Here is a 15,690-nt window from a genome sequence, read left to right as displayed (position 1 = left end):
TCAATCACCAAAGGCAAGTTGAGGTTAGTCACTATAATGAACAGCAATATTAAGTTAGTTGAATATACAAGTCTAAAATTCAGTGAATAAATTGAGGTTGAAGACAGGCTTTTAGAAGTTGTAAGTATATATATGATATTTGTATTAGTCAGTGTTCTCCAGATAAACAGAACTAATAGGATACACACACACACACACACACACACACACACACACACACACACACATATGTTTTGTTATAAGGAATTGTCTCACATACAATTATGAAGGTTGAGAATTCCCATGATCTGCCATCTGCAAGCTGGAGACCCAGGAAAGTTAGTGGTATAATTCAGACCAAGTATAAAGGCCTGAGAACCAGGGGAGCCAATGATGTAAATCCCAGTCTGAAGGTAGGAAAAGATGAGATGAGATGTACCAGCTGAAGCAGTAAGGCAAAAGGGCAGGGGCAATTTGTTTCTTTCTCCACCTTTACTCTATTCTGACCTTCAGTGGACTGGGTGATGCCTACACACATTAGGGAGAACCATCTACTTAGTTCACCAACTCAAATGTTAATCTTATTTAGAAACATTCTCATAGACATATCTAGAAATAATGTTTAACCTGATGTCTGGGCATCCGCAATCTGCTCAAGTTGATGTATAAAAGTAGAAGTATCACAATATCTAAAGCAATGGGACAAATCAGATTACCTAAGGAATGAGAGCAGATGGAGGAAAATAATGACAAGAAAATAGAGCTCTGGTACACTTCAATGTTTGGAGGTTTGATAAATGAGGAAGAGCCAAAGGATAGAAAAGGAGGAAGCAGTGAGGTTAAAAGAAAATTTAAGAATAGTGTTCTGAAGGCTAAATGAACAAAGGTGTTTCAAGGAGGAAGGAGTCATCAATATTGTAAATGCCACTGATGAGTTAAACAGATGAGGACTAATAATTGACTATTAGATTTGGCAACATGGAGATCATTTGTGACTTTGCCAAGAGTGGTTTCAGTGGATGAATATGTACTATATATTTAATCAGAAAAGAAAGCAATACTTTAGTGTCACCTTATGGAACCTATTTTAGTGTAGTGTGCTGACAAAAGCACAGGGTTAATAATTAAATAACTTGCTTCCAATCGGGCTATGGCAGCAATGGGACAAATAGAAGGAAAATCATTTCATCTTCTATGGTCTCGGTTTCTGTATTTATAAAATTAGGAGGTACATATGGTTTTAACATGATGGAGCAAAGTAATTTCCACACTCTTCTTTTGAAAACCATCTCTGAACACAAGGATGAAACAAAAGAGAAACACAAATTTCACCTTCAATAAAACTAGAAGAACTTTTTAACCTCAAACCACAATACAGATGGAAAAAGGATGGAGAAATGGTAAATAATTTAGCAAACTAGTGACATATAGCCAGTTCACCTTGAATTGCTCTGAACAGGCTAGAAAATGGAGGCACTAGACAGCACCGCCAGTAGGAGTCAGGCAGGGGAATATCAGCAAGAATGGTGAGATTTTTTATGTCATCACTCCTGTCCTTCCCCACTCCCACAAAGCACAGGTGATATATTTTCTGGGTTACTTGAACCAAGGAGATTCTGGAATTGGCTATCCCAGAATCTGGAATTTGCTAACACATAAGGGAGAACAGGAGTGAAATGCCAGAGCATAAAAGGGCACTGAGTGAGAGTCTGTATAGTAAAGGTAAAACTCCAATCCCCTACTTTTACTCAACACCACAACAAAGGCAGGCAGCCTCAGATACCACAGGCAGGTGATTGGAAGATTATTTGCTGATAAGACTAAACTTCTCTAGAAAGAAGATCCATAAATACTGACATTTTGGGGTTTTCAGTGAAAAATCTGTCTGGCCATTTGATTATTTAATTGTGAAGTCCATTCATGAACAAGGCCCACTTATGGTCAAAGAGCTTCCAATCAACTCATTGTTACTTCAGTTTTAAATACGAATGGCCCGCCAATGATTATCAGATGGTTGGGGATAGCCATCAACATGAAAAAGAGACAAAAACAGAGAGGAAATGCAGAGAGCAGAGGAATTAAATTTTTATCGTCAGAGATTAAGAATGAGTTATCAGAAATTATAAATATGATTAAAAATAGGAAATTTAATTTAAAAACTGGAACTTTCAGTCATGGAAATTTCCTAGCAATTGGAACCAAAAGGCAAAAAGATTTACAATTAGGAGGCTCCCCCCACACCACCCAGCCAAGATGAGTGACTAGGGGCATCAGATGCCAGTTTTCCTCAGAAAGAAGATCAAAGTTAATGGTGAATGGACATGTTCTGAATGGAAAACTGAGGGAAGAGAGTCTGTCAAAGTGACCATGGAAAGAAGCTAGAATCCAGAAAAGGAAAGCAGCAAGAGTCTGCCAGAGGTGGACCCTCAAGGAACTCTGAGTCCCATGGAAAGAGTAGGTGCATGTTCTTATCTGCTGCCCTCGTCCCTGTGACAATCTGCTGACTGTCAAATAGTTGGGGAGCCCCTCTGCCCTCGTGACCCAGGGCAATACTAGTGGTAGCAACTTCCCATGGACAGAGAACTAGGTGACCACCTCATGCAGGTGTGCCCACACTCCTCTCAGACCCGAACTGAGATGGTGGGCAGCATACTGGTTGTGCATCTGTCATGGGTCACTGTTTTGCCCGATGAATTCTCTGCTCTTAAGTCACCACACCACCAGATTCCCTGCAAATGTACCCCACAATGCACTCTGACTTTGGCAAGTACAGGGGACTAGCAGATCCCCAGGGAGCTGCAGGGCCTCTGGAGATCTAACCCTCTATTCAGGTTGCCCCTAAGGTAGAAGGAGGGTAGCCTGCTAAAGGCCCCCTTGGGCCAAAGAAATGTGGGTATGTATTTGAAATGCTTGTCCCCTGGTGCCGTAAAGAAATAGCACTTGAACATAAATTTAATTCCCTCAGCAAGGCCATTTTTATACTTTCTGCAGAAAGGGTACACTCGACAGCAGTTTTGCCATGAGGGTACACCGAACAAAGGAGACAGGGTCATTTATAACCTGACGCGTCCACCCTACTGCTGTGTCTGGTTTCCATTGGCTGGAACAGGACCTCACATTCTGTATTTGTCCTGATTGGCTACCAACTTAGAACTTTTTAAAAGAAGCAAAGGCAGAGGAGAACGAAGGAAGGAAGAAGTAACTTGTGGAATGCTAAGAAAGGTAAAAACGCCTTCAAATAAGGAAGAGGAACAGGCTATGACCTAATGGTTGCTTGAACCAGTATAAGCATGCCAGGGCAAATATTTAGGCTAAATTGTGGGAGCTAAGAACATAAAGTACATTGATTTCTTTATTACGGCTAGCAGATATTGAATGTTAGCACAGGTCTTTGAATACGTTTTGCTTCTAAGAGAAGTTACTATTTATTTTTAATTAAATGGGGAGGAAAGTCTTTGAAGAGGAACCTCTACTTTACTTTTTACAGTGTGGCAACAATTGCTGAAGGGGACAACACCGACAGCCAGGAACAGACGTGAAGAGGGGGTCATTTCCCACCCCCGTCCACTGTTGCAGATGCAGAAATGGTTCTTCCTACTGGGACCTGGCAGGTATGCACTCAGAGAAAGCATTTGTTGTGCTTTTTGTGGCAGCTCCACCTCTGCTGAAAGTGAGCCTGACCACTTAAGCTTGAATGAAGGGTGGGGCCCAACTCCCCACCCCCACCCCACACACAGAGCAGTAGTGTCTCAGCAATGGAAGACAGACAAGATGCAGAGTTACCTTCCCTAGATCCAGGGAAGAGGCTCTGCCCTGAGCCCATTTTGGTGGTAGCAGTCAGAGAGGTATATCCATGGTCCATAGATGCATTGTAGCTGGGAACCAAAGGACAAAGTGTATATGAACTGAAGGTCATGGGTCCTGTGCCAGGCATGATAGGGAATAAGATTGCATTCCTGGTGGCTCAGGATGAGAAGCTGGTTCACCCCCATTTTCCCTGAAACCTCAGTATACTTTAGTCTTCTTGCCACCTCCCCATCAGGGTGAGTGCTTCCACTCCTCGCCAGCCTACCTAAAGTGGGGCAAGCTCTTACTCTTAAGTGCCACCTACTGGACTGCAGTCTGAACTGCACCACCAAATAGAAAACCTGCTGCCAGAAAGGCTTAGTGTTAGTCCATAAGATAAGCTTCCTGAGACCTATGGACCCTCATCCCACAGGAGATAGTATGTTGGCTCATACATCCAGTACATCACTGTAACAAGCAGCATCTGAGAAAGCCATCACACAGAAGCTACCCACAACCAAGGAACCCATACAGAGCCTTGGCCCCTTGCAAGCACCCAGAAACAAAGCCAAATGATCACACATAACATATGTCACAGTAATACCCTCAAGGAAAAAAAGAATAAAAAATAAAAAAAGTCTCCTTCAAACAATAGCAATTTCAAATATAAGATGCAACAGCTCCCTCAGATGAGAAGGAATCAGTGAAACACCTCTGGCAGTACAAAAAGCCAGAGTGTCTTGACACCTCCAAAAAATCACACTAGGTCTCTAGCAAAGGATTCTAAAAAATGGAAAAGTCTGAAATAACAGACAAAGAATTCAAAATACGGATTGCAAGGAAACTCAACGAGATCCAAGAGTATGTTGAAATACAATGCAAAGAAACCAGACAAATTATTAAGGGTGTGAAAGATGAGACAGCTAGATTTAGAAAAAAACAAATAGAAATTCTGGAATTCAAACATTCTCTAAGGGAATTTCAAAACATAAGTTGGAAGCTTTAATAATAGACTAGACTGAGCAGAAGAAAGAATGTCAGAGCTTGAAGACTGGTTGTTTGAATTAACACAGTCAGACAAAAATAAATAAAAAATAATTTTAAAAAATGAACAAAGTATTTAAGAAATGTGGAATTATGTAAAGCAACCAAACCTATGACTGATTGGCATTCCTGAGAGAGAAAAAGTAAAAGTAAGCAACTTGGAAAACATGTTTGAGGGAAATTTCAGGAAAAATTCAGGAAAATTTCCCTGATCTTGTTAGAGAAGTTGATATCTAGATACAAAAAATTCAGAGAAAACCTGTGAGATACTATACAAGACAACCATTCCCATGACATTTAGTTAACACAGCATCCAAGATCAAGGCAAAAGGAAAAATGTTAAAGGCTACTAGAGAAAAGGGCAAAACTATCTATAAATAAAATCCTATCAGACTAACATCAGACTTCTCTGGAGAAACCACACAAGCTAGAAGACATTGGGGGCCGATTTTTAGCCTTCTTAAAGAAAAAAAAAATACCAGCCAAGAATTTCATATCCTGACAAACTAAGCTTCATATGTGAAGAAGAAATGAAGTGTTTCCCAGACAAGAAAACACTAAGGGAATTTATCACCACCAGAATAGCCCTACAATAAATGCTCAAAGGAGTTTTAAACGTGGAAATGAAAGAATGGTACTTGCTACCATAAAAACACACATAAATACAAAGTTTACAGAACTCATATAGCAATTACATAATTGAGACTACAAAGCAACTACCTAAAAACAGTATGACAGGAGCAAAACCTCATATATCAATATTAACCTTGAACATAAATGGCCTAAACGCATCATTTTAAAGATATAGACTGGCAAATTGTATCAAAAACAGGATCCAACCTTCTGCTGCCTTCAAGACCCATCTCACATGTAATGACTCCCACAGGCTCAAAGTAAAGAGATGGAGAAAGATCTATCATGCAAATGGAAAACAAAAAAGAGCAGGGGTCACTATTGTATCAGAAAAAACAGACTTTAAACCACAAGAGTTAAAAAAAAAAAAAAGACAAAAAAGGTCATTATATAAAGATAAAGGGTGCAACAAGAAGATTTAACTATACAAAATACATGTACACCCAACATGAAGCATCTAGATTTATATAACAAATACTACTACACCTAATAAAAGAGATAGTCATACAATAATATTGGGGGAATTCAACACTCCACTGACAGCACTAGACAAATCAAGGCAAAAAACTAACGAAGAAAATTGGGACTTAAGTTGGACTCTTGACCAAATGGACCTAATATACATCTAGAGAATACCTAACAATCACAGAGTATACATTTTTCTCACCTGTGCATGAAATATTCTTGAAAATTGGCCACATGCTTGCTCATAAAGCAAGTCTCAATAAATTTGAAAAATCAAAATCATATCAAGCATCTTCTTGGACCACAGTGGAATAAAATTAGAAATCAATACCAAGAGGAACTCTCAAAACCACATAAGTACATGGAAACTAAACAATTAGTTCCTGAATAAAATGGGTAAAAAATAAAGTTAAGCTGGGAATTTAAAAAATGGAAATAAATGAAAATAGAGACACAACCTACCAAAACCTCTGGAATATAGCAAAAGTAATGTTAAAAGGAAAGGTTACAGTGCTAAATGCCTACATCAAAAATACAGAAAGATCTCAAATTAACTTAATGTCACACTAAAGTAGAAATACAGGAGCAAACAATCTCAAAGCTAACACAAGTAAAGAAGTAATAAAAATCAGAGCAGAACTAAGTGAAATTCAGAACAAAATCACATACAAAGGACCAATAAAAGGAGAAGTGAGTTCTTTCAAAGGATAAACAAGATCGATAGACCACTAGCTAGATTAATCAAGGAAAAAAAGAGAAAAGATTCAAATAAGCAAAATCAGAAATGACAAAGTTGACATTACAACTGATACCAGAGAATTACAAAATGATCCTCAGAGACTACTATAAATATCTCTGTGCACACACTCTAGAAAACCTAGAGGAAATGGATAAATTCCTGGAAAGCATTTGATAAAAATCTAACATCCCTTTATGATAAAAACCCTCAATAAACTATGCATCAAAGGAACATATCTCAAAATAATAAGAGCCATATATGACAAACCCACAGCCAACATTCATGCCAAATGGATAAAAGTTAACAACATTCTTCCTAAGAACTGGAACAAGATGAGGACGTCCACTCTTACCACTCCTATTCAACATAATACTAGAAGTTCTAGCAAGAGCAATCAGGCAAGAGAAAAAAATAAAAGGCATCTAAATTACAAAAGAAGAAGTCAAATTATCTGTGTTCACTGACAATATAATCCTATGCCTACAAAACCCTAAAGATTCATCTGAATGACTCCTGGACCTGATAAATGACTTCAGTAAAATTTCAGGATACAAAATGAAGATACAAAAATCAGTAGCATTTTTATACACCAATAACATTCAAGCTGATAATCGAATAAAGAACTAAATCTGATTTACAATAATCACACACAAAATAACCCCTAGGAATACATTTAACAAAGGAGTTGAAAGATCCCTACCAGGAGGACTACAAAACAGTGATGAAAGAAACAATAGATGATACAAACAAATGGAAAAACATTCAATGCCCACAGATTGAAAGAATTAATATTGATAAAATGACCATACTTCCTAAAGCAATCTACAGATTCAACACAATTCCTATCAAATTACCAACATTATTTTTCACAGAACTAGAAGTAAAAATTCTAAAATTCATATGGAACAAAAAAGAACCTGAATAGCCAAAGCAGTCCTAAGCAAAAGGAACCAAGCCAAAGCCATCATGTTACCCCACTTCAAGCTATAATACAAGGATATAGTAACCAAAACAGCATGCTGCTAATACAAAAATAAACACATAGATCAATGGCATAGAATAGAGAAACTAGAAATAAATCCACACACTTATAACCAACTAATGCTTGACGAAGTCAAGAAAAATAAACAGTGGGGAAAGAACATCTTATTCAATAAATGGTGTTGGGAAAGCTGGCTAACTATATGCAGAAGAATGAAACTGGACCCCGACACAAAAACTAACTTAAGATGGATTAAAGAATTAAATGTAAGACCTTAAGTGATAAAAATATAAGGAAAAAAACTAAGAAAAACAATTCTGGATATTGGCCTGAAGAATTTATGACTAAGACCTTGAAAGCAAATGCAACAAAATAAAACTTGACAATTGGGACTTAATTAAATTAAAGAGCTTCTGCACAGCCAAAGAAACTATCGCCAGAGTAAACAGACAACCTTCAGAATGGGAGAAAATATTTGCAATCTATGCATCTGACAAAGGACTAACACCCAGATCTGTAAGTAACTTAAACAAATCAACAAGAGAAAACAAGTAGCCCCATTAAAAAGTAGGCCAAGGACACAGACACTTCTCAAAAGAAGTCAGACAAGCAGCCAACAAATAATGAAAACATGTTCAGCATCACTAATCATTAGAGAAATGAAAATTAAAACCACAATGAGATATCATCTCACACCAGTCAGAATGGCTATTATTAGTAAGTCACAAAATAAGACATGTGAGTGAAGATGTGGACAGAAAGGAATGCTTATACAATGTTGGTGGGAATATAAATTAGTTCAACCTCTATGAACAACAGTAGGGATATTTCTCAAAGAATTAAAAACAGACTGGGTGCGGTGGCTCACGCCTATAATTGCAGCACTTTGGGAGGCTGAGGCAGGTGGATCACTTGAGGTCAGGAGTTTGAGACAAGCCTAGCCAACATAATGAATTCTTGTCTCTACTAAAAATTAAAAAAATTAGCTCGGCATGGTGGCAGGTGCCTGTAGTCCCAGCTACTCGGGAGGCTGAGGCAGGAGAATCACTTGAACCCAGGAGTCAAGATCACACCACTGCACTCCAGCCTGGGCAACAGAGTGAAACTCTGTCTCAGAAAAAAAAAAAAAAGAATTAAAAATAGAACTACCATTTGACTCAGCAATTCCACAACTGAGCAGCTACCAAAAGGAAAAGAAATAGTCATATCTAAATGAAACCTGCACTTGTATGTTCATCACAGCACTATTCACTATAGCAAAATCATGGGATCAAACAAAGTGTCCATCAATGGTGTATTGGATAAAGTAAATGTTGTATATACGTACCACAGAATACTATGCAGCCATAACAATAATAAAATCATGTTCTTTGCAGCAACATGGATGCAGCTGGAGGCCATTATTCTAAGTGAAGTAACTCAGAAACAGAAAATCAAATAGTGCACATTCTCACTTATAAATGGGAGGTAAAGAAAGGGTACATATGCACATAAAGATGGAAAACAACAGACATTAGGGACTCCAAAAGTCGGGAGAGAGGGAAAGGGCAAGGGTTATAAAATTACTTATTGGGTGCTATGTTTACTATTTGGGTAATGGGTTTACTGGAAGCCCAAACCCCAGAATTATGCAATATAACCATGTAACAAACCTGCACATGTACCCACTGAATCTGTTTTTTTTAAGACTTAAGAGAAAAACAACAACAAGAAGTACAATAGGCAAATAAGAGTTTCACAAAGTGATAATTTCTTTGCCAGAGTAATTTTCTGTGTGATATAAAATATAATTCAAGAACATTTCCTAAAATGGGCAGACTTTAGTCATCAACTGCAAGAGCTCCACAAGAGTTTAGCATCATGGATTTTTAAAAAGTCAGTTTCAGTGCATTTTCTTTGGAACCCCAGAATACCAGAGATAAAAAGAGGTTCCTGAAATACACTAGAGAAAAAAATTAGATCACTAACAAACAAAATAAGGATAACATTTAACTTCTTAGCAATGTTAGAAGTTGGAAAACAATAGAAGCATATCTGAACCAGATATAAGGGAGGAAAAATAGTTTTTTTCTCTACCCTTCATAGTTCTTAGTTGGGATGGACCCCTGTAATCAAGACAGATTAACAAGAGAAAAATAAAGTAATAACATGTATAACTCATGTATACATAGGAAATACCCAAGAGAATGTGAAATCTCAAAGAAGTGCCTTTGACTTCAAGCTTAAATATTACCAGTGGACCCAGCTGGGCGTGGGGGCTCACGCCTGTAATCCCAGCACTTTGGGAGGCCGAGGTGGGCAGATCATGAGGAGAGGAGATCGAGACCTTCCTGGCTAACATGGTGAAGCCCTGTCTCTACTAAAAAATACAAAAAATTAGCCGGGCATGGTGGCGGGCGCCTGTAGTCCCAGCTACTTGGGAGGCTGAGGCAGGAGAATGGCGTGAACCCGGGAGGCGGAGCTTGCAGCAAGCCGAGATGGTGCCACTGCACAACAGCCTGGGCGACAGAGTGAGACTCCGTCTCGAAAATAATAATAATAATTATTATTATTATTATCAGTGGAAACAAAGAAAGAGGGTGAGAGAGGCCAGTAATGGGAAGATGTCCAGGAAAGACACAATAAACAAGGGTAAGATTTATTTTGTAGATTTAACTCCAGCCTTTTCAATTGATAAGAATCTCTAGTGATTTATCCTTCCCTCTCCTCCTGGTATAGAGAGGGAGACACCCTTAGAAATGGAGATTTCTTTTATAGATGTAAAATTTCTCTTACAAAAGGCTAATGTTTATTCTATTTTTACAGTTTCTTCTGTGTCTCCAGTTTATCAAAATAATCAGCTCAAAATAATCCTTCTGCCTAAGAGAGATATTTTGGGATGGCATATCTTGGGCTCCTACATAGACAAATCAAAGATAAACAGTAGAGACATAATTTTCAGAAATATGGAGGTAAACAGAAGAAATGGCTAAAAACCCTCTGGAAAATAGAGTAGAAAGGAGAGTAGGGACTGCTGTTTGCTTGTTTTGTTATAAGCCCAGCACAGGTATTTAACTTTTCAAACTATCAAAGGTATAAATGAAAATTGTTTTTTCAAAATAAGGTGTGAAGCCTAGATTGAATAATATTTGAGATTACTGGCAGTTTACTCTATAAAGTGTTTGAGTGTATTAGCTGTGTTGCAATTGGCACAGTATAGCATTTTCTCGTGCATAGAAGCATGGAAATTATTTTGTAGAGGCCAAGTGGAGTGGGGGAATTCCCCTTCATCCTCTGAAGGTTCACTGAAAAATCAACTCACAAAAGAAGATTAATTGGATAAAAAGCATAAACATTTATTAATCTTCACACTGGGGAGAACCATAGAGTGATTACCCCGTATCCCAATGTGGCCCAGACACTTATATAACCTTATTTCAGGGTGGGTGAATATAAGTAACTCTACTGGGGGCCAATGAATGATTTCCAGGGAGAATGAATGGATTGAGGAACAGAGATTAACTTGTAAATGGTTCTCTTTAGAAATTGAATGAGCCTGAGAGACATATGTTATCTTGTTAAGGAATCTGTTCAGGTGTAATGTAAATTCTTGGTCTCCTTTTCTGCAGTAGATAGTGAGAGAACAGGGAGGGAAAGGGAAAACAATTGTTCTCCTTAGTGGGTCCATGAGGTCTTTATGTAGATAGGGAAAAAGTCTCTTTCAGTGTCTGTTGATTGCTAAGGGCCTTTAATTCAAAATACTAATTATACCAGGGGACAATTTTTTGGGGTGAAGTTTCCCCGCACTCCTTCAAATGTTAATATAAGGTGTGATTCTTCTCCAAAACAGCACAATGATTGTTAAGTGTCAGGCATTTAAAATAATTGATAACTGATTATCACAATAATCCTGCATGTTAGTTAAGATTTAGAAACTGAGATTCAGCAAGATCAAGCTACTTGTCCATGCTAACAATTACTTAATGGCAGAGAGGAGTTTTTAAATAGCTTAATTTGACTGCAAGATACAGAGTACTGTCTATAACATAGACAGCTACTTGACCGTAAGGTATTATACAAATATAATATATAGGAGCTGTTTAGGCTTTGTATGTAAGATGATGAAAACGTACCTCTAGTGCACACAGTTTCAGGTACCACAACTTTCCAGGTGACACTAAAAACAGCCAAGTGAAGAAAAAGAGAAAATAGTATACAAACACACAAAATTAAAACACAGACACATAAACACATTGGGGAAGAATTTAAATGATGACAAAGCCTAAACAAAGAATAATTACTATTATAAAGTACGGATAGCACATGTAGAAAGAGATTTCAAATGACAAATGATCTCTTTACTCATTTTCTTTTTCTTTTTTCTTTCTTTTTTTTTTTGAGATGGAGTCTTACTCTGTTGCCCAGGCTGGAGTGCAGTGGCACGATCTCGGCTCACTGCAACCTCCACCTCCCGGGTTCAAGTGATTCTCCTGCCTCAGCCTCCCAAATAGCTGGGACTACAGGTGCCCGCCACCACGCCTGGCTAATTTTTGTATTTTCAGTAGAGATGGGGTTTCACCATACTGGTCAGGCTGATCTTGAACTCCTGACCTCAAGTGATCCACCTGCCTCGGCCTCCCAAAGTGCTAGGATTACAGGCATGAGCCACCACGCCTGGCCTTCTTTATTCAGTAAAACTGATTAGGAGAAATTAAGAATAAGGTCAGAATTTATTATAATTTTATAACTTTTGTTAAAAACTTTAGACAAATTAAATTGAACAGAGTTTAACTGAGCAAAGACTGATTGATGAATTGTGCAGCCCCCAAACCAGAAAAGGTTCAGAGAAGCTCTGCACTGTCACATGGTTGGAGAGGATAAAGGCAGATAAAGGAAAGTGATGAACAGAAAATGGAAGTGAGGAACAGAAAGATCTAGATTGGTTGCATCTTGGTGTTTACCTTATTTAAACATGTTTTGAAGAGCTGTCCACTTTTGATTGGCTGAAACTCAGTGACTGGCACATGAGTAGGTTAGTCTGTTTACACATCCAATTATGTTACAGTTCATTATGAATAGAGAAACTTTTAGGTCAAACTTAAAATATGTAAGGAGCTTTAGCTTTAGTCTAAACTTAACAATTCCCCCCACCCCCTTGGGGGAACCTCTCAATTTTGAGAGGTTGACCAAAACTAGGTATTGATGTCACTCTGTCACCATCATAAATGTACTTATTTGTTCTCAAATACTACTGGGAAATAGAACAGTGTACTTATCTTTGTGCAACAAGAAGTGTCAGCAACTATACAGATTATTTTCTGTTCAGCCAATAAGAAATCTAGAGCAAGTCTATTATCTAGTACAACTTTAGCAAAAGAATTTGAAGAAGTCTATTGTACAACCACAGCCTTTGCAGGAGAATCTGCTATAGAACCTATTATGAAAGATAAATTTCTAATCATCTCATTTACTCCAAATCATGGAACAAAAGATCCAATACATGATGCCTATCCAGAAGGGTGAAGGCCTCCTGGCAATGTTCTCTTTAACATTATGATGTAGGTTAAGAGGAGTGGACCAATGTCCTGTTTCTGACTGATCATGGAGCAACAAAGGTACCAATAAATTAAAAATTCTCAACAACATTGAAATTTCATCTTCCACCTATCAAGGCATAAGTTTGCCTTGTATAAGGTCGGCTGTAAAATCCTTCACAAATAAAAGTGTACCTCATGCGTGCACACAAGACTTCCTTTCCAGTTCCATTGCTCATAAAGGCATAAGCAAGGAAATTATTACCGGTCTCTCATGATAGCAGAGGTATCTTTGTCTATGATCTTGGGAAAGCTGTCCACATCAGGGCTGCCATCTGCTTCCAGGGAGAAACTTCCATGATTAACTTGACCTTAAGATCTCCAAAGTGTGTACAATTCAGAGAGTCTGGAGGGGAACTTCTGAGTTGTGAGATTATGGATCCAAGAATTGAGGTCCCAAAGTTTTGGTGTAGTGTGGGTGGCAAGGGAAGTCTTTCTCTGATGCCATTTCCAGAGGACTTGATATGGTTTGGCTGTGTCCCCATCCAAATGTCATCTCGAATTGTAGTTCCCATAATCCCCACATGTCTTAGGAGGGACCCAGTAAGAGGTAATTTAATCATGGGGGCAGTTACCCTCATGCTGTTCTTGTGAGAGTGAGTTCTCATGCATGAGATCTGATTTTTTTTTTTTTTTTTTTTTTTTTGAGACAGAATCTGGCTCTGTTACCCAGGCTGGAGTGCAGTGGCATGATCTCGGCTCACTGCAACCTCCACTTCCTGGGGTCAAGCAATTCTCCTGCCTCAGCCTCCTGAGTAGCTGGGATTACAGAAGCCCGCCACCACACCCAGCTACTTTTTGTATTTTTAGTAGAGATGGGGTTTCACTGTGTTGGCCAGGCTGGTCTCGATCTCCTGACCTCGTGATCTGCCCACCTCGGCCTCCCAAAGTGCTAGGATTACAACAAGCATGAGCCACCGCGTCCATCCTATCTGATGGTTTTATATGGGGCTTTTGCTCGGCACTTCTTGCTGTCACCATGTGAAGAAGGATGTGTTTGCTTCCCCTTCCACCCTGACTACAAGTTTCTTGAGGCTTCCTCAGCCCTGCAGAACTGTGAGTCAATTAAACCTCTTTCCTTGATAAATTACCCAGTCTTGACTATGTCTTTATTATCAGCGTGAGAACAGACTAACACAGGACCCAATCTCCAGGTTTTAGATTGTGGAGGGTTTAATTGTCCTCGGTTAGTGGATAGTGAAAAGCTTCCTTTACTTGGCAAAAATAAACTTCAGCATAATGCATTAACATCTTGCAGCATTTAGTCATATCAGAGTTTAGGAGTGGAAGATATATGAGTTTCTATTATTAGGAGCATAGGCCTTCCAGTGATTATTTCATAAGGAGTCAACTTATATTTTCCACTGGCAGTGGATTTGATTGTCATCAATCTGCAATACCTTTGGTTAAGGTAATTCAGTCATTTAGTTAGCTTTGTCTAATGCTGTTGTATCTGGAATATCTTATTTAACTGCTTTACAATGTGTCCAGTGAAACAAGTATCTTTATCACTAGAGATTTCTCTAGGAATGCCCCATGAGGAAAACACATTTTCCAATAGCCTTTTAGCTACTATTATAGCATCAGCCTTCTTGCGTGGGAAAGCTTATATTTCTATGAATTTGTTATTAATATATGTTCCAAAATTGTATGAAATTCCTAAAATTCTGATATATCTTGCTATGTTATCAGTCATAATCATGGTTATTATGTTAAGTTGTAGGCCACAAAAATAAACAAATTTCATTGTCACTTGTGTCTCTAAGATAATTTTAAGTAATTTTTACAGTTAATTGCTTAATTCTGATGCATTTTCTGAAAGTTCTTTATAAGCAAGGAAAATCCTAGAGTATTATGTCTTAAAGGAGGTTCATAGAGAGGATAAAAAAAGAAAACATGCATTTAAAATGACACTAGAGTGAAATCCCTCTATAAGTGTTCAAATGGCCCATCAGGTAGCAGAAACATACCTGAAGTTTTTATTGTCTTCCCAGGATTATGGGTTTGACAAAACAAACACTTGTCATATACCATTTTTTCAATTTAGAACAGCCATTAAATACACACACACACACACAAAAACACATGTGCACACACGTATTTCATATTTGGCTTATTTTATCTCTTCCATGATGAGTCATGGAGGGCTGAACTTATAATAATGAAAGCTTTAAGGACTCAGGACAAACCAGGCAGATGTACAGGCTTTCCATGAGTCCATGATTAACAATATACATATCTTCTTAAATGCCAATTTTGTTTCTCCAATTTGGTTGCATAACACTGTTTATTAATGGGTTATCATAGGTAATTTGACTTGGACCATGGAGTTCATTCAAATTACATATCTTAATAATTTCAGCACTGGTTGATTTAGCATAAGAATCTGGCAGAGTATTTCATTGGTATTCAATTAATTGTTATACTGCTCGAGTTAGCAGTTTTATACAGAAGTCAGTCTCTTCATTACAGTTCTGGGAATTATTACA

General features: G+C 38.1%; 1 annotated feature.

The window, feature by feature from the left end:
* Window positions 10,700-11,496: an enhancer, noted in NCBI's record as "OCT4-NANOG hESC enhancer chrX:43201432-43202228 (GRCh37/hg19 assembly coordinates)". NCBI's record gives its function as "activates a minimal SCP1, AML or CMV promoter by ChIP-STARR-seq in naive H9 embryonic stem cells {active_cell/tissue: H9 hESC(naive)}" and the evidence as "EXISTENCE:reporter gene assay evidence [ECO:0000049][PMID:30033119]".

Source organism: Homo sapiens, chromosome X, assembly GCF_000001405.40.
Source record: "Homo sapiens chromosome X, GRCh38.p14 Primary Assembly".
NCBI classification, from domain to species: Eukaryota; Metazoa; Chordata; class Mammalia; order Primates; family Hominidae; genus Homo; species Homo sapiens.
Note: the sequence above shows the minus strand (reverse complement) of the source record. Positions and strands in the feature narration are given on the sequence as shown.